Genomic DNA, 24,832 nt, shown 5'->3' on the forward strand with positions numbered 1-24,832 from the left:
CTGTTCTTGTGGACCTAAAGTCTCTTCCAGTTCTGAATGTTGAACCCAGAGAAACGTCTCTGAGTTCAACAGGGAGGTGCCCAAAAGGAAACATTCCAGGAACTCCGGTTGGCTAAGGAAGCCTATGGAAAGGGACAAGGTTATGCCTGGCTCTGTGACCTTGTCCTTTCTCCTTCCTGATCTTGCAGAGGCCTGGCAGGCAGTGGTGTGCTGGAGCCGGCTCGTCCGCTTCCTGCATCTCTTCCCAAGCCCACGTGCAGTGATGTCATGTTGGTAGCTTAACAGCAGCCATGGCAGGAGTAATGACACCAACAAAATCAGCAGATGCTTCAAACCACAACAGTTTTTCTCCTGAGATGGGCTGTGACGTTGACCAGCACACCACTGCTGGCAGCCTGTTTTAGACAAATAAGCAGCTGCCTTTCCCAGATATGAAGGGATGAAACAATTGATCCTTGGCCTTGATAGAATGCTAGCTGCCCTTTCCCTCCTCCTGCAGCAAGCCTCAATCCTGCTTCTCTTGTGTGACTGTTTTTTTCCATGTTCAACAGAGCCCAATTGAGCCTGGAATCCTGAGCAGCTTCAAAGTAAATATTATCATTATGACCCTTTGTGCTCTTCACAGCCATGACTGCTACTGTAGCATTTAGATGGATGAGTCTCTTTGGGGCTTGTTCCCAGGAGTGCAAAGCAACGGGCCCCAGAATATTTGTACTGTTGGCTCTGGTGGTTCCTCTGAGGCATTCTGTACTGCATCTAGGATCAGGGGATCCTTGAAATTTCCAAAGCTAAGGGACTAGTATATGTGTTTTTATGGGGAGAAAGAGGAACCTCACCTCTTCGGTAATTATGGTCAACCCTAGAGAATATATTGGAGAGGAGTCATAATATGTTCACACTCATGTGCCTAGTCCTCTAAAAAGAATAATAGGCCAGGTGTGGTGGCTCATGCCTATAATCCCAGCATTTTGGGAGGTCCAGGTGGGCGGATCACTTGAGGTCAAGAGTTCGAGACCAGCCTGGCCAACATGGTGAGACCCTGTCTCTACTAAAAATACAAAATAAATCAGCTGGGCATGGTGGTGCGCACCTGTGATCCCAAGTACTAGGGAGGCTGAAGCATGAGAATCACTTGAACCTGGGAGATGGAGGTTGCAGTTAGCAGAGATAGTGCCACTCCACTGCAGCCTGGGTGACAGAGTGAGACTCTGTCTCAAAAAAAAAAAAAAAAAAAGAAGAAGAAGAAGAATTGCAGGTGCCGTTTATTGGTATCCTTACTATAAATTAGGTTCTGGATTATCAAAAATTCTCGGCCGGACGCAGTGGCTCACACCTACAATCCCAGCATTTTGGGAGGCCGAGGCAGGCAGATCACCTGAGGTTGGGAGTTTGAGACCAGCCTGACCAACATGGAGAAACCCCGTCTCTACTAAAAATACAAAATTAGCTGGGTGTGGTGGTGCACGCCCATAATCTCAGCTACTCAGGAGGCTGAGGCAGGAGAATTGCTTGAACCCGGGAGGTGGAGGTTTTGGTGCGCCAAGATCGTGCCATCGCACTCCAGCCTGGGTGACAAGAGCGAAACTCCATCTCAAAAAAAAAAAAAAATGCTCTCTCTTAGTTGCAACACACATATGTGCACAGATGTACACACATGCACACATGCATGTAGGATACCTTGCTGGATGTAGGCCTATGATCGGCAGCCCAGCACCAAGATAAACAATAGTGTGAAAAAATATCCTAGGTCTTTGTTAATAATTGAAGCTAGTGCTACCATAATTTTACACCAAAAATGCCCTATCAAGAAAAAGAAACGTTTGGGTATGGTGGCTCATGCCCATAATTCCAGGACTTTGGGAGGCCAAGTAGGGAGGACTGCTTGAGCCCAGGAGTTAGGGACCAGCCTGGGCAACATAGTGAGACCTCATCTCTACACAATAAGTTTTTTTTTTTTTTTGAGACGGAATCTCACTCTGTCACCCAGGCTGGAGTGCAGTGGCGTGACCTCCGCTCACTGTAAGCTCCGCCTCCCGGGTTCACGCCATTCTCCTGCCTCAGCCTCCTGAGTAGCTGGGACTACAGGCGCCCGCCACCACGCCTGGCTAACTTTTTTGTATTTTTAGTAGAGACGGGGTTTCACCGTGTTAGCCAGGATGGTCTCGATCTCCTGACCTCATGATCCGCCCACCTCGGCCTCCCAAAGTGCTGGGATTACAGGCGTGAGCCACCGCGCCTGGCCCTCTACACAATAATTTTAATTAAAAAAAAATTAGCCAGGCATGGTGGCATGTGCCTGTAGTCCCAGCTACTCAGGAGGCTGAGGTGGGAGGATTGCTTGAGCCTGGGAGGTTGAGGCTGCAGTAAGCTGTGATCACGCCACAGCACTCCAGCCTGGGCAATAGAACAAGACTGTGTCTCAAAAGAAAAGAAAAGAAAATACTTTGGGGAAATATATTCTATGCCCAAACAGCATCTTGTTATAACAGTCATTAAGGGAGTAAATGTACACAGGCAGTAGGCATGAACTATCATCACAAAAAGCTCTGCAAGATAAAAGATCACCTTCAGCAGCTAAGCTATGGACCCTTTGCGAAGTCAGTGACTGGATCCAGCCTCATGGCTGGGCTGACATTGCAGCTTCAGAGCTACTCTAAGCTACTTATGACCTTGGCCCAAATTGTGGGTTCTCTGAGCAAGGACAGGGTGGTGAGCACAGCAAGAGGGCAGGATGCGTGCATTGCAGGGTTTTTTGGAACAGGGGTGAAATTAACCCAGTCGGGGCTGGCCTATCCAATGGTTGCACCTGTGAGTCTAAGACAGGAGCTACAGAGGCAGCCATTTCCTGAAACTTGACAAGTGGGGAGCAAAAGAGAGTCTGTGACTCTTGAGGATGAGAGCATCTCCTTCCTACTCCTCCCCTCTTGGAGGGTCTGTGCTGGGTACTTGAGCAATTCCATCCCAGCAGGTGCAAGTGGAAGCATTTATAGCTGTACAATGTCTAGGTGGAAACTAGAGGATGGGGGATTACTATTTCTCCCATCCACTTTGCCTTGAGCTTGGCTGCCTCTGGGCCCTAGGGGAGCCTGTGCTCCACATATCAAATTACCCTACACTTCCACCCTCAGAGATCCATTTCAATTCACATGGCCTCCCTCCTAAAGCTTTACTAGCCCACCCAATCGCACTGGTTGAAAGGTTGCTTAAGGTGGATCTGTCATTTCTCTTCTCATCTCAACTTCAGTACAGGTCATATGGAGTTCTGGGAAGAATGCCAAGGGACTCTGATATGTTTGTGCTTAAATATTGTGGTAATCAAATATTATGTGAAATAAGTTGGCCATCAGCCAAAGATTGGAGCTCTTGTTAGTTAAACAGAGATTTGGCAGTGCTAACATTGGATGTGATAGTCTTTGCACTTGATGTCGATTACTGTGACTTCTAGTTATTTTACATTTTTCTCCAAATAGCACCTAATCATAACCATCAGTTAGACTTTCAGCATTTGAAGAATTAACAGCCTAGATCTGGACTCTAAGGCCCTCGATGTGTAATTCTGTGAAGCACATATTTTCTTTTTTTTAATGTACTGTTTTATTCACTAATGCCTCCAGGTATATTTCTCTCCCTATGAACAAGGACATGCATAGTAGAAGTCACATCTTAAAAATAAGTTTGAGTATAAATCTGTGGATTGAAACTGAAGCACATATTTTCATCTGATAGGTTCCAAAGTTGATGTGGGCCAGGCATAGTGGCTAATGCCTGTAATCTCAGCACTTTGGTAGGCTGAGGCAAGTGGATCGCTTGAGCTTAGGAGTTCAAGAACAGCCTGGGCAACACAGTGAGACCTCACCTCATCTCTACGAAAAAAATGAGCCCGGTCGCATGCCTGTAATCCCAGCTACTTTGGAGGCTGAGGTGGGAGGAATGCTTGAGCCTGGGAGGTTGAGGCTGCAGTGAGCCTCTGCACTCCAGCCTGGGTGACACAGGGACACTTTGTCTCAAACAACAACGACAACAAAACCAAAGTTGGTGTGTGGGAGTGAGCCATTTAGCTAGGGAGTGAGCCTAGCTTGTGGGAACAACTGCCCGTCATCTGTTGTTCTCTACTTGTCCTTGAATGTGTAGCAATTCTCTTACAAAAAGTGACCTGGAAAAGAATGCTGGGGATAGAGGAAAAAAAATGATAAAGAGCCCAAGAAAATGAATGACCTTAGTGAGAAAACAGAATTTCTAGGCTGGGCGCGGTGGCTCATGCCTGTAATCCCAGAAGTTTGGGAGGCCGAGGTGGGCGGATCACTTGAGGTCAGGAATTGAAACTCCGTCTCTACTAAAAATACAGAAATTAGCTGGGTGTGTGGCGTGCACCTATAGTCCCAGGTACTCAGGAGGCTGAGGCAGGAGAATCGCTTGAACCCGGAAGGTGGAGGTTGCAGTGAGCTGATATCACGCCACTGCACTCCAGTCTGGGTGACAGCACAAGACTCTGTCTCAAAAAAAAAAAAAAAAAAAAGAAAGAAAGAAAAGAAAAGAAAGAAAAAACAGAATTTCTGAATACATTAAAGTGTAAAATATCCAATTTAGTAGTAGTTCAGATCTACTACATGAACAAGTTCCCCATACGCTCTATACAAAAATAAAAGGCAATTAGCAAAAGTGTTTGAGTGTTTCAGCCAGTACAAAAACAGACTTTATTCTGGTATTTATATAATCATTAAGGTTCAGAAGGTCACTGGAAATATGCAGGTATGCTTTCCCGTGTTACAGGGTGAAAATTATATGCTATGATCATGTTTGCAAATTTGAGATATTTAAGATCTAAGAAGATTCTTTTTTTTTTTTTGAGACAGAGTCTTACTCTGTCGTCCAGGCTGGAGTGCAGTGGCGCGATCTGAGCTCACTGGAAGCTCTGCCTCCCAGGTTCACGCCATTCTCCTGCCTCAGCCTCCCAAGTAGCTGGGACTACAGGCGCCCGCCACCGTGCCCGGCTAATTTTGTTTTTGTATTTTTAGTAGAGACGGGGTTTCACCGTGTTAGCCAGGATGGTCTCGATCTTCTGACCTCGTGATCCACCGGCCTCGGCCTCCCAAAGTGCTGGGATTACAGGCGTGAGCCACCGTGCCCGGCCGAAGATATTCTTGAAGAAGGAACCGTTATCCCTCATATTTGTTTGATTGGTGCTCAGTGGTTTCCAAAGTGCTTTCATGTGCTCAAGAGATATTGCTGGCAGCAGTTAGAGAAGCAGGGGGAGGAACAAGGGGTCAACCAGGCCTGAGTCCTCATTATGGTGCCACTTCTTCTGTGTTGCCTCAGGTAAGTCCCTTATCCTCCCCAAGACTCTGTGTCTCCACCTGTTTCATGAGGATACAAATGCTACTTGCTCTGCTCACTTCGCAGAGTCCTGGTAATGTCCAAAAGAGCTAATGTGAGAAAGTGAAAAGTATAATGAATGGTTCCTGTGGCATTCACCCATTCATTCATTTCACAGATATTACCGCACTCTACTTGTGCTGTGATTAGCAAATAGAGGGGGCTAAGATGCAGCTCCCACTGTTGAGATTAAATGTCTAGGTAGAGGCCGGGCACAGTGGCTCACACCTGTAATCCTAGCACTTTGGGAGGCCAAGATGGGTGGATTGCTTGAGCTCAGGAGTTCAAGACCAGCCTGGGCAACATAGTGAGACCCCCATCTCAAAAAAAAAAAAGTCTAGGCAGAGAGATAGGTAAAGGGAATAAAAGAATGTTGCATACAGCTGTGTGGTGCCTGCACCCGAGCTCAAACTAAACCAAGCACAGCAAAACTACAGAGGAAACAGACCCAACCCACTGCCCACAGCTGGTGGGCAGGCGTTTTTTGTCAGCTATCCCCTCCCTCCCAATTCTGCCCTGGATCCTGTCTTCTGTAGTCAAAATGAACTCTACAGCCATACTGAGCCAGCCAGCTCCCTTACAGAATTTCCACTGGGTCTCACATAGCTCAGTTTCCCCCCAAGATATGGCCCTATACTCTGATCTGGCCAGGGGAAAAAAGTAATTACAGCCAGCTGTTTACAAAAAACAGGCAGAGAGATAAAAGAAGAGGGGAGAGACACTCTCGCAACTAAATCAGAATGACACACTATTTAACCTAATTACCTGCAAAGCCGTATCCAGCCATTAAGGATCCATATTCTGTAATAGAATTTCCTGCTATGGAAATACTCACCCACGCACAGGATGTTGAAGCAGAAGCCCTGGCTGACGGACTTATTCACCAGCTGGTCAGGCAAGCTGTCAAACCCCACATGTCCAGCCAGGGGGACAGTTCGGCAACCTTCACCCTAATTTGGAAGGAGTGAGGGAGAAAATGAAAATGTGCTTAAAAGCAGTCTGGGTCTCGCTTCTCCATCCAAATGTTCGCTGTGCAAGGAAGTCACACCCGCCCAGGCCCAGTGTGTCATCTCTTCCCTCAGCTACTCCCTGCTCCAAAGCAAAATGGCCCGTCAGCTTGGAAATCACAGATTCTTGGGGACAGGCATCCTCTAGGCTCAATAGTGAATGTCGCCACAGCTCCAGAGAAAATTACAGAGGAGCTTATTAGGGGCAGGAGAGTGGAGTCAGGGGAGGAGAATGCTGGCACCGAGATTCACAGACTCAGGTTAAATCTCCACTCAGTCATTTACAAGCTGAGTAACTTGCTGAGACTGTTTCCTTCCACATCTGCCATCTGAGATAATATGGCATATCTTAGAGGTGACTGGGAGCCTCAGAAACGCTAATACATGTAACGAGCTTAGTATATGCAGAAGTATTCAGTAAGTATTACGAAAAGGGTTTAAAAAGCAATTATTGGGCCGGGTTCAGTGGCTCACACCTGTAATCCCAGCACTTTGGGAGGCCAAGGCGGGGGGGATCACTTGAGGTCAGGAGTTCAACACCAGCCTGGCCAACGTGGCGAAACCCTGTCTCTACCAAAAAAAACAAAAATTAGCCAGGCATGGTGGTGGGTGCCTATAATCCCAGCTACTTGGGAGACTGAGGCAGGAGAATTGCTTGAACCCGGGAGGTGTAGGCTGCAGTGAGCCGAGATCACGCCACTGCACTACAGCCTGGGCAATAAGAGCGAAACTCTGTCTCAAAAAAAAAAAAAAATCAATTATTGGCTGGCGAAATGTCTCACACCTGTAATCCCAACACTTTGGGAGGCCAAGGTGGGTGGATCACTTGAGGCCAAGAGTTTGAGACCAGCCTGGGCAACACAGTGAGACAACATCTCTACAAAAAATCAAAAATTAGCTGGGCATGGTGGCATGTGCCTGTGTAGTCCCAGCTACTTGGGAGGCTGAGGCGGGAGGATTGCTTGTGTCCAGGAGGTAGAGGCTGCAGTGCGCTATGATGGCACCACTGCACTCCCGCCCAGGTGAGAGAGCAAGATCCTGTCTTAAAAAAAAAGCAATTGTTCCTCTCTCTCTAGAGCATTTTGAGGACCTACAAAGGCAGTGTAGTGTAGAGGTTAAGAGTAGAGGCTTTGAAATCTGGCAGGTGTTAGTTACAGCCCCATCTCCACCATCTCCTGGCTGTGTCACCCTCAGACAAGTTACATAAACTTCTTAAGTTTTCCCCATCCATAAAATCGGAAACTATTGAGTAGGAGTGTGAGGATTATACAGGATCATGCTCCTCAAGCCCTTAGCGTAGTGCCTAGCATGTGGTGAGCATTCAATCAGCAGTAGCTGCTGTTGTTATTCACTGTGGGGTTATCCTTACACCCCCAGCCTGAAGGGTACTGCATGGAACACTGTGGCTCCCTATGGCTACAAGAAGCTGCCTCCGTGCTTCCTCTGGGTCCCTTGACTCCCTAAGGGTCAGCCAAGCCACTCCCAGCCCTGGAAAGCAGAGGGCCTTTGCTTCGCCTGCAAGGCCCAAAGCTGCTTATAGTTAATGATTTTACAAAACAGGAGGAGACTCAAACTGGAACAGGATTCCAAGGAGCCAGGGGGAAGCATAAAAGGGGCCTGCGTGGAGCGTGGACTCAAGAAATGTGCCAAATACCAACCAACGGCCACAGGGGAGGGGAGGGGACAGGGGAGAAGGGAGCTTGAGACAGCTGAGCTAGACAAGAAGGGAGTACTATGTAAGGAGTCAGTTTCTGTTGGGTGGGGCTGCACCAAGCTTTCCATAACTAGAAAGATGCCAAGAGCAGTCCAAGAAGGGCACGGTTAGTGCCAGGAGGCCCAGCCCAGCATCACAGGCTGCACTAAGCAGGCAGCTCTTCTGTTGGGCTGGACCACCTTTTAGACTAGGTCCATAATAAGGGCACATTTTCACACTGAAAGGGGTGGGGTGTGAGGGTGGTGGAGCCTCTCAGCAGCCAACTTTGTCAGAACCGGCTCCCAGATAGCCCCTTCACACAGCTTTAGATCTCACTCCCATCGGTGTCACTAGATCCTGTGAGGGCAAGCGACAGGGCTAGTGCCGGTGAATGCCATGTGGCAAGTTCATTACCCTCACACATCTCACCCCACACCCTCCCAGTGGAGAACTCTTAACAGACAACCATATGCCATCATTCAGTGAGAGTTGGTGTATTCTCTGCCCCAGGGGGTCCCCTGAAGACACCTGAGGCTGGGTGCAGTGGCTCGCACCTGCAATCGCAGCACTTGGGGAGGCCGAAGTGGGCGGATCTCTTGAGCCCAGGAGTTTGAGACCAGACTGAGCAACAATGGCAAAACCCCATCTCAACAACAAGAAAAATACAAAAATGAGCCGGGCATGGTGTCGTGAGCCTGTGGTCTCAGCTACTCAGCAGGCTGAGGTGGGAGGATCACCTGAGCCCAGGAGGTCGAGGCTGCAGTGAGCCATGATCTCGCCATTGCACTCCAGCCTGGGTAACAGAGCAAGACACTGTCTCGGCCGGGCGCGGTGGCTCATGCCTGTAATCTCAGCACTTTGGGAGGCCGAGGTGGGCGGATCACGAGGTCAGGAGATGGAGACCATCCTGGCTAACACGGTGAAACCCCGTCTCTACTAAAAATACAAAAAATTAGCCGGGCGTGGTGGCGGGCGCCTGTAGTCCCAGCTACTCAGGAGGCTGAGGCAGGAGAATGGCGTGAACCTGGGAGGCTGAGCTTGCAGTGAGCCGAGATCGCGCCACTGCACCCAGCCTGGGCGACAGAGCGAGACTCCGTCTCAAAAAAAAAAAAATAAATAAAGACAGCTGAGCCTCATGAGTGGTTCACATCACTCAAGGCTTTGTTCTACGTTCACCCCTTTCTGCTTCTCCTTCTCATTTCCCCTTCTCTTTATTAAAGCAAACAAAGTAAGATGCAAGATTCCCACTGCTAGTTCTTGGTCCGCAACGCTGCAGGGGAGTCAGGGACATGAGAACTGATATGCTTTCTTTACGGAGCCTCCGATGTAGCAGGCATCGGAAATTGAGGTGGACTCAGAGTTGAGGTTTCCTGAGCCATTTGTTATCACCCCTGGCTGCCTCTTCCGGCCTCCAACAAATTCAGCACCATGAAGCTTCAAGTGCTCCAAAGTCAAAAGGAGAGGAAATGAATTTTCAAACTGAAGACAGTGCTGTAAAGAGCCCTAAACGGCAGAAGAAAAAATTTTCTTTTCTTTCCTTTTTTTTTGATAAGGAGTCTCTCCCTGTCTCCCAGGCTAGAGTGCAGTGGCGCGATCTCAGCTCACTGCAACTTCCGCCTCCCAGGTTCAAGCGATTCTCCTGCCTCAGCCTCCCGAGTAGCTGGGTGCCCACCACCGCACCCGGCTAATTTTTTGTATATTTTAGTAGAGATGGGGTTTTGCCATGTTGGCCAGGCTGGTCTTGAACTACTGACCTCAGGTGATCCACCCACCTTGGCCTCCCAAAGTGCTGGGATTACAGGCATGAGCCACCATGCCTGGCCCAAAAGAAATAATTTTTTAAGCCCTAAGAAGCAGAAGTATGGACTTCATTTCCTAAGCAATGGGATTTGGGGGATTTTGAGTGATTTGAGCAGGGAGGGCCATGATACAGGGAGTGTTTTTAAAAGATCACTCCAGCTGCAGGGTGTTTGCTTGATTGGATGGACAGAGAGACTAGGAGCAGGAAGACATAGGAGGAGATGACTCCAATAATGTTGAGCCAGCAGAGTGACATCCAGGCACTGTGACAATAAATGCTGGTTGGTGTGAACTGACCTGACTTGGGACTCAAAGAGAAGGAACAAATTTGAGAGATGTCTTAAGAAGGGATGAGCCTCTGCCGGGAGCAGTGGCTCACGCCTGTAATCCCAGCACTTTGGGAGGCTGAGGCAGGCGGATCACGAGGTCAGGAGTTCAAAACCAGCCTGGCCAACATGGTGAAACCCCATCTCTACTAAAAATACAAAAATTAGCCGGGCGTGGTGGCGGGAGCCTGTAATCCCAGCCACTCAGGAGGCTGAGAGGCAGGAGAATCACTTGAACCCAGGAGGCGGAGTTTGCAGTGAGCCGAGATTGCGCCACTGCACTCCAGCCAGCCTGGGGGACAGAGAGAGACTCCGTCTCAAAAATAAATACATTAATTAATTAAAAAAGAAGGGATGAGCCTCAAGGAGTGATTGGGCAGAGAGAACAATCGCAAGGGTCTAAGCCCGGGAGCTTGGATTGACAGCACCATGGAGACACATAGGAAAGCCAGGAAAAGATGCCTGTTTAATGGGGACGATGAGGAGACTGATTTTAAATTAGCTGTTACTAAAAAAATTACATTTATCAGATTTTTTATTTTGTGGAAGTAATCAATGTTCACTGTAGAAATTTTAGAACATACAGATAATAATAAAGAAGAAAATCAAAATCAACCATAATATCACTCTCCAGAGATAAACACTCTTAATTTTATTTATTTATTTATTTATTTATTTATTTATTTATTTATTTATTAGAGATGGAGTTTCTCTCTTGTTGTCCAGGCTGGAGTGCAGTGGCACAATCTCGGCCCATGGGTTCAAGCGATTCTCCTGCCTCAGCCTCCGGAGTAGCTGGGACTACAGGTGTGCACCACCACGCCCAGGTAATTTTTGTATTTTTAGTAGAGACGGGGTTTCACCTTGTTGGCCAGGCTGGTCTTGAACTCCTGACCTCAAATGATCCGGCCACCTCGGCCTCCCAAAGTGCTGGGATTACAGGAGTGAGCCACCATGCCCAGCCACTGGTGACTTTTAGAATCCTTATTTCTTTTGTATCTGTTACCCAGTGTCCAATACACCTAAATTAACTGAGGAGTTTGGGAAAGAAGGGACATAGAACCTGGTCAATGTGTTTTTCTTGCTAACTGGGATTTAAGCAGCAAACTTTTTGTCTCAATCCCTGTAGCTAAGAAAGCTTCAAAAATGTATTTGTGGCCAGGCACGATGGCTCACGCCTGTAATCCCAGCACTTTGGGAGGCCGAGGCGGGTGGATCATGAGGTCAGGAGTTTAAGACCAGCCTTGCCAACATGGTGAAACCCCGTCTCTACTAAAAATACAAAAATTGGCTGGGCGCGGTGGCAGATGCCTGTAGTCCCAGCCACTCGGGAGGCTGAGTTAGGAGAATCACCTGAACCCGGGAGGCAGAGGTTGCATTGAGCCGAGATCACGCCACTGCACTCCAGGCTGGGCGACAGAGTAAGACTCTGTCTCAAAAAAAAAAAAAAAATGTATTTGTATAGTTCCTACTTTAGGAAATCCTGTCTGGCAAACACTATGCACCCTTGCTTTGATGAATCTTATAAGATGTCAAGGTCATCATTATGAGTATCAGTCCGCATTGTTCAGAGTTAAATACGCAAAGGTAGGAAGGACAGAAGGACACAACATTGAACTGAATGTACACTGACCCCAGCACAGCCCCTGGAAGTTTCTCCCCTCCTCTCTCACTAAATCTCTGATATCTTATCTCTTTCCTCTTTCTCCTTAAGGTGGCCTGATTAATTGAGGGCCTGATTACTTTGATTGCAGTTAATTGAATGTTCCTTGACTACAATGTGCACGAGAGGAGATGGAACCGGCAACTTGGCCCAGCATGTCTGACAGTAAATCTCAAGTTTTCATCTTTAGTAGCAGGTGGTGCCATATTACCATACTGAAGGCCTGAACTGAGATGCTGGAATGGCCAAAGTCACCATTTTAAATTGCACTTCTCTCATAACCCTGCAACCTCCTCTCAGAATCTGTACAAAGATCTATTACAAGGAAATTTATTACAGCACAGTTTATAATGCTGAAAAAAAAAACCCAACCTAAATGTCCAACAATAGGAAAATATTTAACCAAATTATGGTACACGCATATTCTGGAATATTCTACATCCATTAAGAAGCATGTGGGTAGTTCTGTATGTACTGATGTGAGTATCTCCAAGACATATTATAAAACAGAAAACAGAAGTTATAGGGCGACTGTAATAAAATAGAAGAAAATGGAAGTTATTACATGACTGTAATCCCAGCATTTTGGGAGGTCGAGGCAGGTGGCTCGCTTGAGCCCAGGAGTTTGAGACCAACCTGGGCAACACAGCAGAATCCCGTCTCTACAAAAAATACAAAAATTAGCCAAGTGTGTTAGCACACACCTGTAGTCCCAGCTACCCAGGAGGCTGATGTGGGAGGATTGCTTGAGCCCGGTAGGTCGAGGATGTAGTGGGCCAAGATTGTGCCACTGCACTCCAGCCTGGGCAACAGTGAGACCCTGTCTCAAAAAAAAGAAAGAAAAAAAAAAGAAAATAGAAGTTGTAAACTATAAGCACAATATGAGCCCATATATGCCCCAGAAGCCCTGTAGATGTGTATTTGCACGTAAATGTATGTGGATGCATAGAAAGAAGACTGAAAATACAGCCACCAAACCCACAATCGTAGCTACCTCAGGGGAGGGGGATGGAAATAGGGGCTCAGTCAAGGGAGTAGTCGGTATGCTTCCCTATTGTTTGACTCTTTTATAGCACGAATGTATTCGCATGTTACCCATGTAATTTTAAAACATTTTTAATATAAGAAAGAAGAGTTCTCACTCAGCTTTGCAGCAGGGGTAATTAGGATGCAGAGAGTCTGAGAGGAGCTAAAAGGAAGGCAAAATGAAAGAGTGCTCCTGAGAACTGGGAGAGCGCCCCACTCCCCTCCCCAATTACATTTCCTGTTTTCTCCTCATCTGCAGTCACCTGTGGTTTTTAAATACGTTATACCACATTTCATATCACAGGCAGAAACACTGCTCTCTTTCTCTTCTGCCTCCTCTCCTGAGGACACACCAATTTCGTTTTTTAATTGAATATTCGTAAGGTTCATATTATCAAGAACAAGTTATGGTGGTTCCAGCTGCGCATCTTTCTCTCATTGCTGTTACTGAAAATAAAGAGTCCCTTAAGCACCCGAGTAGGCCACCTCTGTCCCCCACTCCCCTTGGCCCCTCTTCCAACCTCTGTGATAGTAAGCAAGCCGTATTTGAGGCCTCTGGGAACTGAGGGTGCATCTGTGTCAATGGAGAATTTCCCGCCTCTGTTTCAAACCAGGGTGGCTAAATTAGTAGCTGTCATTCTAAAGAATAAAAGCAAAAAGTTTGAAACTCATTGCTGATGACTAGGCTGTCCCTAAACTTTCTCCTCTGGCCATTCCCATCCAAATACTAGGAAAGCGGCCAGGTACGGTGGCTCATGCCTGTAATCCCAGCACTTTGGGAGGCCAAGGCGGGCAGATTACTTGGGGCCAGGAATTCGAAACCAGCCTGGCCAACACTGGGAAAACCCGTCTCTACTGAAAATACAAAAATTAGCCAGGCTTGGTGGCTCATGCCTGTAGTCCCAGCCAGTTGGGAGGCTGAGGCAGGAGAATCGCTTGAACGCAGGAGGCGGAGGTTGCAATGAGCTGAGATCGCACAACTGCACTCCAGTCTGGGCAACAGAGGGAGACTCTGTCTCAAAACAAACAAACAAACAACAACAACAAAAATGCTAGGAAAGAAAAGAAACACTGAAACCGGACTCTCTTCAGTCACCTACTGGTGGGCCCAAGCTCTCACACCTCCCTTTTCTCCATTTCCACTCTCAGCCCTGAACACTGATGTCTGAAAGACCGTGCAAATCTCCAAGACTATGAATCATCGGTTCAGTGATACATGATGGAATATTAAGCAGCTGAGAAAAATGTTTTCTAAGAATATTTAATGACAAAAGGAAATGCTCACCAAAGGCAAACAACAACAGGAAAACCAACCTGTATACACAGGGTCATCCCAATGATGGGGGAAAATACACATTTTTTAAAAGATTAGAAGAACACATGCCAAAATAATGTCAGTGATTTCTTTTGGGTAGAGAGGTTGTAGGTGATGTTGCTTTTCTGGGTTTTCCAAATGTTCTACAATAGGCATATTTTACTTTTATAAACAGGGAAAATGTTACTTTTTTAAAAAAGATTCTATGATGATACTTTCCTGGGTAGGAAAGTGGCCTCAGGTATTTTAGAAAAATATTGAACTACAACCAAAAAGGTGCCTGACAATTTGGGTCATCAGAGCATTTAGCTTTCAGGCAGTTTTATTGTATATAAAACATTTATTTTACCAGAAATACAATAAAACCCTATTAGTCTCCTTATTATAACTTCTTTTTTTTTTTTTTTTTGAGACAGTGTCTCACTCTGTCAACCAGGCTGGAGTGCAGTGGCGCGATCTCAGCTCACTGCAACCTCTCCCTCCTGGTTTCAAGCGATTCTCCTGCCTCAGCTTCCTGAGTAGCTGGGATTACAGGTGTGTACCACCACACCCAGCTAATTTTTGTATTTTTAGTTTAGTAGAGATGGGGTTTCACCATGTTGGCCAGGCTGGTCTAGAACTCCTGACTTCAGGTGATCCACTCGCCTCGGCCTCCCAAAGTTCTGGGAATATAGGCGTGAGCCACTGTGCCCAGCCCCCTTATTATAACTTATTATTACATATTATATATATAACTTATTGTCATACAGTATAATTTCTTATTATAATGATTCATGTGAACCAGAAGTCAAATCATATATCCTGAAACATGTAGCAAAAAGTCTTGATGAAACAATCAGGTAGCTGATAGCTTCCTCTGCTGCCTCCAATGCTGCCAAGGATGCCGCTGTATTATGTCATAAGAACCACAAAAGCACTGATAAGTTCCCAGAGGTTTTTTTTTTTTTTTTTTTTTTCTGAGATGGAGTCTCACTCTGTCTCTCTCAGGCTGGAGTGCGGTGGCACGATCTCAGCTCATTGCAACCTCCGTCTCCAGGGTTCAAGTGATTCTCCTACCTCAGCCTCCCGAGTAGCTGGGATTACAGGCGCCCACCACCACATCCAGCTAATGTTTGTATTTTTAGAAGAGACGGGGTTTTGCCATATTGGCCAGGCTGGTCTCGAACTCCTAACCTCAGGTGATCCGCCCGCCTCAGTCTCCTAAAGTGCTGGGATTACAGGTGTGAGCCCCCGCACACAGCCAAGTTCCCACAGGTTTTAAAAACAATTCTCAAATGCATCCAACACATCAAATATCAGAATGTCCCTCATGCTAATTAAGCCAGGCTAAGAGGAAACTGAGTAGTAGCAATGCCCTATCCTGGGAAAGAGAAATGTGGGGGCTGTTCTAAGGAGAAATAAGGCCTGCAAAAGCTGGCAGCACCCCCAAGGGGCCTCAGAAATGCCCTTCAGTTGGGGAGCAGTTGTGCTGAAGAAGCACAAGACAGACTATCCTTACCAGACAGAGGAGGAGGCCCATTTTTGGCAAATCCAATAGATGAAACTGATTTTAATACACAAGATAAATTCCAGAGTGGCTTTTCATTCTATAAAAGGATTCACAGCAGGATTCCATTAAGTAGCCGGCTCTTCTACTGCATTGAAAGCAGGATTCAATAGACAAACATTCAGCTGTCATGTACCTTTATAGGAAGACAATAGCTATCTACACCTACATGGACAGGCAATATCTGAAGGGTTGTTTCTGTTCCACTTACCGAGAGCCTGCTGAGCTAAAAGCATAGATCGACCTTCCCTACGACTCTCTCCCCACCCAGCTCAAGGGGTCAAAGCAGGGAAGGGGTGGGGTTCAATTCTGCCACCTCATTCGGAAGCAGACGCAGGCAAGGACCTAAAAGAAATGAGGCTGGAGAAAAAGGAAACATAAGCACCATACAATGTTAGAGCTGGAAACGCCCTTAAAGATCACCTAATCCAGCCCTTTCGTTTCACAAAAGGGGAAACAGAGACTCACAGAGAGGAAGTGACTTGGCTCACGTCACAGACTGATTTAGTGACAGAGAATAGTGCTAGGATCCAGGCCCCTGTCGAGCCAACGGCCACTCTCAAATGGAAAAGCTGACTCAAGTGGCACATGTGTTTCTTTAGACTGGTAAAATTCCGGGACATTGAGCTTCTGGCTTGATGCTGGTCAGGGGCAGAAGGGTCAAGGAACCGAATCTGGAAACCCGTGAGCTCCCCAAGGTGGTTCTGGCCCACAGAAGGCAACTGAAGCAGTCAATGCGGTGGAAGGCACTCATTGTGTGTTCCTGCTCTCTACTCACTTCCCCACTTTTTCCTCCTGTTTCCCTCTCTTTTGACTGCGGCCTAAGTCTCAGCCTGGCCAGCTGCCCAGTTCTGCTGAAGAACCCCAAGACTAACACAAGCCTAAGTCTAGGTCAAATATCCCCACCTCAGGCCAGGGGTGACCCTTGCTCAGGGTGAGTGAAACTTTCCCACAAAAGCCAGCCAGATTCCCTGGAAGCCAGACAATTGAAAGAGAGTTTTCTAGGTGTTCTGGCTATTGTTACCTCCAATCTGCTAAAAAAGAAAAGGTTTACCCACAGGCCTCTGGGTGAATGCCCAACTGCCCTCTGGGGAGCCTGAATTTGCCTCTGCCTCCATCTGGTCTTGTTTAATGGGGATCTGAAAAAAACCCAGTTCCTGCCTCAGCGCCAGTGTTCAGAGCTGGGGGCCTCCAATGTGAAAGGAAACCGAACACGACCTCACACCTCATCAGGGCCAGGAAAACAGAGTTCTGCCCCGTTACCCCAGGGCCTTCATTCCGGGTCAGAGAGGGCCATGGCAGGGGAAACCTGAGCCCTGAGGCCTCTCGCTGAGAAGGCCTGCAGATCTTTTCCCTGGTCACCTTTAAGTGAGTGGAAGGGCCGGCTGAGAGCGCGCTGCATAATTCAGCAGATGGCTGCCTCTAATGAGAAGACACTGAAGAAGAGGATAACATTATTTCTCACCCTCCTGAGCATGTGGCCTCCTTCCTCTGTGCAGGCGGCAGAGAAACCCACGGTTTCAAATCCCAGCAGCAGAAGCCTCCTCCTGCCAAACTGAGGAGGAAGGGTCTGTGTTTCTAATTTATTCTGCGCCCCCCACTCCAGTTGTTACTTAAAATAATCCATCATTACATGGCTGGTGGCTCCAAGATTTTTATTTAAAGCAATATGGAGAAGAAAAAATAAAAAAGAAAACCCACACAACCCGTGACTGTGCTATATTGGATTTAAGCTGAGAATCTTTTTAATATCAGAGAGTCTCCGAATCACCCTAGTATACTCTTCCCTGGGCCCTATGGGAGTGCTGAGGGAGTGTAGTGAAAAGAGGGGGAAGAGAGGTCATGGCAGGATTTTGATGTCTTAGAAACATCATGAAAAGACAAGTGTTTTTAAACAAGGAATCTGTGTCATCTGGTGGGTGTTTAATCGTATCACCCACTGACCAGCAATAGCACTTCGGACTAAGTAACTTGGTCTCCCTACACCCATTAAATAAAGGGAACAGTAATACTTGTCCAGGAAGCCATTGGGGAAAATGAAATCATACAGATGGAAGCATTTCGAGATCGTTGAAAGAAACATGTTATATATATCCATGGCTTTCCTTCTTTCCTTCTTTTTCCTTCTTTCCTTCTTTCTTTCTTTCATCTGTCTTTTTTTTTTTTTCTTTTTTGAGACGGAGTCTCACTCTGTCGCCCAGGATGGAGTGCAGTGGCACAATCTCGGCTCACTGCAAGCTCCGCCTCCCGGGTTCACGCCATTCTCCTGTTTCAGCCTCCAGAGTAGCTGGGACTACAGGCACCCGCCACCACGCCCGGCTAATTTTTTAATTTTTAGTAGAGATGGGGTTTCACCGTGTTAGCCAGAATGGTCTGGATCTCCTAACCTCATGATCTGCCCGCCTCGGCCTCCCAAAGTGCTGGGATTACAGACGTGAGCCACCGCACCTGGCCTCATCTGTCTTGAATGTAGTTTTAATGTACATGCAACTAAAAGCCCTTCTCAATTGTTCATGCTAATATTAAACCATGGCTCTGATCATCCAAAAACCCAGGCAAGTCCAGAAATCAGCCCTACTTAGTTTGGGAATACCTTTTTCCAGAGGACTTATCTTCCTAATTGGCTTTGCTCAGGCTAATGCAATAGGTTTGCTCCCTTATAGCACACAAAGGCAGTGGCCATGCTTGGTAACAAAGCCAGCAATTAATAGAAAATTTACAGCAGAGACTCCACAAAGTAAATGCTATGCACATGACTGCAGATCAAAATCTCATTAGATGATACAGACAAATCACTCTGCTATAATGTAGTTTTGTATTAAGAACACCGCTAACACTCACATTTCCAGGATTTAGGATGTAAAAAGGAAACAGGGCTTATTCCTGCCTTTCATCTGGAAGCTGTGAGAGGGCAGAGTTCCTGCGTGCCTTGGCCACCACTATATCCTCAGCACCTGGCACGGGGCCTGGCCGATCAGTGCCCAGTGAATATGTGCTGAAGGAATGAATGAAAATAAAAGTGGGTGAATTGGCAAATGAAATGTTCCCAACCCAGTAGCAGATGTGAGATCTCACCCACCTTCACACCTACCCATTTCCTATTTGAAGCCCTCAGGAAGCCCTTCCTGTCACCCTCTGCCTCCATTCATTGCTGAGTTAGGTTCCCTTAGTAATGAAATCTCATGGCAGGCAGTCACTCTCCTGTGTAGCACTTATCACAAAGATAATTAGATAGTGATTTGTGTCTGCCTCCACCAGTTCCTTGAAAGAAGGGACCATGTGCATTTGGGGGACATTGTCATTCTGCCCGCTTTTTATTTTGAAAAATCCCAGGCCGGGCGCTGTGGCTCACACCTGTAATCCCAGGACTTTGAGAGGCCAAGGTGGGCAGATCACGAGGTCAGGAGTTCGAGACCAGCCTGGCCAACATGGTGAAACCCTGTTTCTACTAAAAATACAAAAATTAGCTGGGCACGGTGGTGCACACCTGTAATCCCAGCTACTCGGGAGGCTGAGGCAGGATAATTTCTTGAACCCAGGAGGCGGAGGTTGCAGTGAGCTGAGATCGCGCCACTGCATTCCAGCCTGGGCGACAGAACAAGACTCCATCTCGGGGAAAAAAAAAAAAAAAAGGAAAAGAAGAAAAGAAACATCCCAAACACACAGAGAAGTTAGAAAATAATGTAATGACTGTCCAAAAACCCCTCAAATTTAGAATCAACATTTTTAAATATTTAGGGCCATGTAAACTTTCTTCCGTGTTGTATCACCAATAGAGCTAGGTAATAGGGTTTTGTTTTCTATGTTTGAGGTACGATACTACCTTTAGTGGGTGGTGGTAGGAACGCCTGAAGCAGAGACCTCAAAGGGAATCAAAGGGTAACTGCCACGTGATGATAGCAAAACCAGAGTGCAGCAGCAATCTTTTCCCCACCTGAAGACAGTTGCTCTGAGACAGTTGACCCAGACCAACCCCAGCTAACTTTGTAGGGCAAAGTTAGCCCCTGAAAGTTCACTTGGGAGAATGACCACTACCTAGATTGCCACTAGAGAAAGCTTCATTGTTCACATTGTGGGACTAGTTCAAGCCAGAATCATCCAGATGCTCTTGGTATGGGCCGGCATTTACGGTCTGGATCCCAGAATGCAACATTGAAAGGAACAGCTCATTAAAAGAGCCAGCACATGCAGCTTTTGGGGCTTGCCCTGTGCCTTGGTTACCTTGGACAAGTCATGGAACCTCTCGAAATATATATTAATAGCAGCCCAAGCCACCTCATAGTCAGGGGGTGAGGTGGGGCATCACAAGGATCTTCTATAGTTCTTTAATTATTTCACAGTGTCCACAATTTGTCATTCCAACTAGACTATAAGCTTAAAAGCCACGAACTTTTTTTTGTTTTGTTTTTTGAGACGGATTCCCACTCTGTCGCCCAGGCTGGAGTGTAGTGGCACGATCTCGGCTCACTGCAAGTGCCGCCTCCCAGGTTCACACCCTCAGCCTCCACAGTAGCTGGGACTACAGGTGCCCGCCACCACGCCTGGCTAATTTTTTGTATTTTTAGTAGAGATGAGATTTAACCATGTTAGCCAGGCTGGTCTCGATCTCCTGACTTTGTGATCCACCCACCTCGGCCTCTTTTTTTTCTTTTTTGAGATGGAGTCTCGCTCTGTTGCCCAGGCTGGAGTGCAGTGGTGCAATCTTGGCTCACTGCAACCTCTGCCTCCAGGGTTCAAGCGATTCTTCTGCCTCAGCCTCCTGAGTAGCTGTGATTACAGGCACGCACCACCACGCCTGGCTAATTTTTGTATTTTTAGTAGATACGGGGTTTCACCATGTTGGCCAGGCTGGTCTCGAACTCCTGACCTCATGATCTGCCCACCTCAGCCTCCCAAAGTGCTGGGATTACAGGCATGAGCCACCAAGCCCAGTCCGATCACGAACGTTTTTTAAAGCCTGCTACCTTTTTTTGTCCAGTTGACAAGGGCTAACCATAGTGCTGGCCACATATCAGTCAATCAAGTAAATATGGACACAGTGGAGAAATGGTGTTGTCACACCAAACCGTTTGTGGTGTTCATTCAAATGGGACGGACTTGTATTATGTGCACCAGAATTGAACTTCCAAGTTGGCTGCGTGCAATGTAAGCCCTACCCAACAACTTGAAGGCTTGTTTTAGTCACTAAGGATGTTTACCCACAGTGACTCTCAACTGATTCTAGAAAGAACACACCCCCCACATACATACACATACACACACACACACACACACACACACACACACACACACACTAGGGCACTTACTCGCATGGTACCACGTCTCAGAGCTCATTAAAAAGAATTCCTGGCCGGGAGCAGTGGCTCATGCCTGTAATCCCAACACTTTGGGAGGCTGAGGCGGGTGGATCACAAGGTCAGGAGTTCGAGACCAGCCTGGCCAACATGGTGAAAACCCCCCTCTACTAAAAATATCAAAACTAGCCAGGTGTGGTGGCGGGTGCCTGTAATCCCAGCTACTCGGGAGGCTGAGGCAGGAGAATCGCTTGAACCTGGGAGGCTGAGGTTGCAGTGAGCCGAGATCATGCCACTTGCACTCCAGCCTGGGCAACAGAGCAAGACTCCGTCTCAAAAAAAAAAAAAAAAAAAAAAAAGAATTCCTAAGCTAGCCACACTTAGGTTTATTCTCTAGTCTTCTGTTCCCAAACCCTGAATACATGTTCCTTGGAGGAAACAAGCAGCAACCAGATGTCCAAGGTCTCCTGAGTTAACTCCGTCTTCCCTGGTGAATTACAACTTATTGCAGACACAAAGGAGAACAGAGAGACAAATGACACATAAACAGGAGCTTCACTGGCTGGGGGAGGGGGGCATGGAGAGTGACGTCAGTTTTCCCAGAAACCCATTTATCACGATAACAAGGTCTCGAGTGCTTAGGCTGCTCTTTCAGCTTCAGAATCTGGCGTACAATTATGTTCTTCATCATACAGTATGGCAAGGCCAGCCAGAGCAAACTGGAGCCATGCAAAGCAAACCAAGTGGCCCTAAAGCACCCCCTCACCCCCATCTGCAGAACAAAGGGCATCTCTAGGTTGCCTGAGTTGTGCCTGAGGTGAAACACACACAACCTTCTGGAATGTTCCCCATTGCAACATCTGCCCTGCAATCCTAATCCAGGCAAGAGAAACTGGTGAGAGTATGGAGGACAGGTCGATGCAAATTCATTAGCTGACATGAAAAATCATTAGCGTCATTTTTGGATGGAGCTAGTGTAATCCCAGAGATTAATTCCTCTACTTCAGCTATACCATCTCTGAAATGCAGGTAACCAGGAGCAGAAAAGCCACAGCAGAAAAGAGGGAGCCCTCAAAACACTAAAGCAATAAACAACGAGAGTGCCAATCTTGGGGGAAGAAAATTCTCTCAAATTGCATCATCACAGAGAATGTCCCCTGTCTACTCCTGGTCCTTCCACAACATGACTGCATAAAGTGCTCTGTGCTAGGGTGTGCAGGGGGTGGAGGAGGTTCCGAAGAAATGATCCTGCCCTTCCAAACAGGGACAAAAGAGACATTAATACATATTCTGTAGAGAAAATATTATCAGATTCTGGCTTCAGATTTTGTAAAATCAATTTCAATTACACCAAATACCTAGAGGCTTTTTTTTTGTACTGTAGTTGCATTGCATGAACTATTTTCCTAAATAAGTAAGCTACAAGGTTGAAAAACATTTTTATGTGGTTCAGAGATTTTCGTCAAGTAGTATGTGGTGTCATGGGATTTGACCTACCTCTGTCTCCCACTCCTTCCTCACCTCGGGGTGCTGGTGGGCTTATTAAAGTCCCAGATACCCATGGATGAATAGAATAGCTAGGGTGTCCCCCCCAAATGGAATTCATCGCCCTTTGCAACCAAACTTCTGGTTTAAAAAACAAACATGGAGCCTCAGGTCACTTCAACATGGTTTCTCTGCACATCCCAGGCTGGAAAACTTCAGTTCTTTAAATGAAGATTTTTTTTTTCCCAGAGTCGGTCGCCAACAAAAAAAGAGACGGCACCGCTTTTGCGAGTCTCACACTTATTTTCCTGAGTCTCCATAGAAAGAAGCCAGCTCCACAGGTTTTGGCACACAAGCCCAGTTACACTGAACATGCACCCGAGACAGATCCTCAGAGGCCCGCTCCAAAACATGCCAAAATACGCAGCCAGCCACCTACAGGCCAGCCAACTGCACCCCACACTGACGCACAAATGAGACCCAGAGGCACACAGCACAAGCAGACAGAGAGGCGTTCGGACACACACCACAGAGGTGAGCACACTCAGAGAAACACGCGGACTTCTTTGGGTCACAGACAGAACCCCGGCGCCGCCGCCGCCCGCCCGGGAAGACACGAGCGCGCGCGCGTGCACACATACGCGCACACCGATACACACACAGACGCAGTCACATATGTAATGCATATAGAGAAACCCTATCCCAGCCAGTCACCTCCCCGCCCCCCTCGCCACTCACCGCCTTCTGCCCCAGGCTAACCCCAGCCCCGCGCCTCTTTGCCTGTGCGGTCCCGGGTCACAACGGGCAGCCGTGCGCAGGGGCGCGGCAAGGCCAGGGTGCCAGGGACCCGGAGGGCTCGGCGGCTCCTACGGCCATTCATTCGGCAACGCCCCAGCCGTGGGGCCGCAGCTGCAGCGAGGGAGGCGGTGGCGCTCACTGCGGCTCTTGGGCAATGCAAGTTCAGCCGCCGGCCCGCAGGTTTTGCCTGCCCCCCTGCCGCCCCCCGCCCCCCGCGCGCCACCACCGTTTTCCGGGACAGGCTGAGGGACTGAGCTGCTGACCCCGGGAGCAGAAGTCCCACCGTGCCCTTGGCTCCTGGATGCTGCCCACTGCCCTCCTCGCGATGTGGCGGCGGCGGCCAGGTCTCCTTGACCCTCACCAGGCCCTCGGCCCCGGCCCTGGCACCCAAGCTCTGCACTTACCACCTGGCGAGCTATATCGGTCGCTGCCATCGCTCCTGCGTCCGCCAGGGCTGCCACGGGTGCCGCCGCAACGGGAGCTACTGCACAGGAAACAGAGGAGCTCCTCCGACAAAGAGAAAGTGTTACACTTCGGGCGCGACCAAGTCCGGTGGGGGGAGGTGCAAGGGAGGGGCCCCCTCGCCGCTGCTCCAACCCCAACCTCCCCTCTACCGCCCACCCCTTGAAAGTAGGGTATGGAGAGGGGGCGGATTTAACGCGCCGCTTCCCCCTATGGCCAGACCAGTTCCAGTTCTTCCTGCAACCCCAGCCATAGGCTTCTACGAAGGGGGGCGGGGGCTCCCCTCGGTGACCACGTCCTCTGCCCCCCCCGCCACTTGGCTCCGTGGTACGTCCCGACCTCTGCTGAATTGTCACACCCCCCTGCTCTCCTTTACATCCCTAAGTCCCCAGACCCCGAAGGCTGGAAGGGAGCCCCCGCCCCTCCCCCCTCCCATACTCTGCTCAGCGGCCGAGCTCTGCAGTTCTCCTCCCGGCCCCCGTTACCCCCCTTCCTTTCCACCGAGATCCCAAGGTGCTTAGATGGGTGCGCCTTGGCCGCTGGAGTCTCGATGCCCCACTGTCGTGTCTCCCTCCCTCCATGGCCCGGGAGCGCAGCTGCGGCCGAGGTACCGGGGAGGCCTGCGGCACCTGCCGCTCCACAGTAGAGCTTAGAAAGGGGGCCCGTGGGGGGAGCCGCACTGCAGCCCGGCAACTGAGCTGAGCTGTGGCATGTGGGGTCCGAGGCTAGAGGTCTTGAGACGCTGCTTCTGCCCTGGGGTTTCCAAGCCTTGGGTGCTGTGGGCTGTAATTTCGTGGAGCCAAGCTCACCACCTTTGGGTACCTAGTACAGACGGAACCCACGCCTCCTCTCTCCGACCCAGCCCTAGACGCTCAGCAAGACCACCCACCCCTTCTAGTACCAGAGGAAGGGCTGGAGATGAAGGTTCTCAGCTCTATGGAGCGAAATGGAGGGGCGGGTGACGGGGAGCGGCCTCCAGTCACTCTGTCCCGCCCCCTGATTTCTCCTTGACCCTCATTCAGCCCGGGACAAGGCGGCCAATAG

General features: G+C 48.4%; 1 protein-coding gene across 9 annotated transcripts in view, besides 10 other annotated features; it reads right to left on the reverse strand.

The window, feature by feature from the left end:
- The window catches only part of SEPTIN6 (septin 6), a 77,445-nt gene extending 53,622 nt beyond the window's left edge, over positions 1–23,823 (reverse strand). For all 9 annotated transcript variants that reach the window (NM_145802.4, NM_145800.4, XM_011531317.4 and 6 more), the window contains exons 1-2: positions 23,731–23,823; positions 6,209–6,323 (exon numbers count right to left, since the gene is read on the reverse strand). In NM_145802.4, coding sequence (NP_665801.1) covers positions 6,209–6,323; positions 23,731–23,760 — 145 coding nt within the window. In that variant the 5' untranslated portion in view covers positions 23,761–23,823. The remainder of the gene's footprint in view (positions 1–6,208; positions 6,324–23,730) is intronic.
- Positions 8,318–8,818: an enhancer, noted in NCBI's record as "H3K4me1 hESC enhancer chrX:118811626-118812126 (GRCh37/hg19 assembly coordinates)". NCBI's record gives its function as "activates a minimal SCP1, AML or CMV promoter by ChIP-STARR-seq in naive H9 embryonic stem cells {active_cell/tissue: H9 hESC(naive)}" and the evidence as "EXISTENCE:reporter gene assay evidence [ECO:0000049][PMID:30033119]".
- Positions 8,318–8,876: a biological region, named in NCBI's record as "H3K4me1 hESC enhancer GRCh37_chrX:118811626-118812126".
- Positions 8,757–8,876: a silencer, noted in NCBI's record as "silent region_20962". NCBI's record gives its function as "represses an Ori minimal core promoter by ATAC-STARR-seq in GM12878 lymphoblastoid cells {active_cell/tissue: GM12878}" and the evidence as "EXISTENCE:reporter gene assay evidence [ECO:0000049][PMID:35858748]".
- Positions 16,276–16,505: an enhancer, noted in NCBI's record as "active region_29888". NCBI's record gives its function as "activates an Ori minimal core promoter by ATAC-STARR-seq in GM12878 lymphoblastoid cells {active_cell/tissue: GM12878}" and the evidence as "EXISTENCE:reporter gene assay evidence [ECO:0000049][PMID:35858748]".
- Positions 16,776–16,825: an enhancer, noted in NCBI's record as "active region_29889". NCBI's record gives its function as "activates an Ori minimal core promoter by ATAC-STARR-seq in GM12878 lymphoblastoid cells {active_cell/tissue: GM12878}" and the evidence as "EXISTENCE:reporter gene assay evidence [ECO:0000049][PMID:35858748]".
- Positions 16,856–16,905: an enhancer, noted in NCBI's record as "active region_29890". NCBI's record gives its function as "activates an Ori minimal core promoter by ATAC-STARR-seq in GM12878 lymphoblastoid cells {active_cell/tissue: GM12878}" and the evidence as "EXISTENCE:reporter gene assay evidence [ECO:0000049][PMID:35858748]".
- Positions 22,837–22,886: an enhancer, noted in NCBI's record as "active region_29891". NCBI's record gives its function as "activates an Ori minimal core promoter by ATAC-STARR-seq in GM12878 lymphoblastoid cells {active_cell/tissue: GM12878}" and the evidence as "EXISTENCE:reporter gene assay evidence [ECO:0000049][PMID:35858748]".
- Positions 23,377–23,506: a silencer, noted in NCBI's record as "silent region_20963". NCBI's record gives its function as "represses an Ori minimal core promoter by ATAC-STARR-seq in GM12878 lymphoblastoid cells {active_cell/tissue: GM12878}" and the evidence as "EXISTENCE:reporter gene assay evidence [ECO:0000049][PMID:35858748]".
- Positions 23,707–23,836: an enhancer, noted in NCBI's record as "active region_29892". NCBI's record gives its function as "activates an Ori minimal core promoter by ATAC-STARR-seq in GM12878 lymphoblastoid cells {active_cell/tissue: GM12878}" and the evidence as "EXISTENCE:reporter gene assay evidence [ECO:0000049][PMID:35858748]".
- Positions 24,017–24,066: a silencer, noted in NCBI's record as "silent region_20964". NCBI's record gives its function as "represses an Ori minimal core promoter by ATAC-STARR-seq in GM12878 lymphoblastoid cells {active_cell/tissue: GM12878}" and the evidence as "EXISTENCE:reporter gene assay evidence [ECO:0000049][PMID:35858748]".

The sequence above is a fragment of the Homo sapiens genome, chromosome X (genome assembly GCF_000001405.40).
Source record: "Homo sapiens chromosome X, GRCh38.p14 Primary Assembly".
In the NCBI taxonomy this organism is placed as follows: Eukaryota; Metazoa; Chordata; class Mammalia; order Primates; family Hominidae; genus Homo; species Homo sapiens.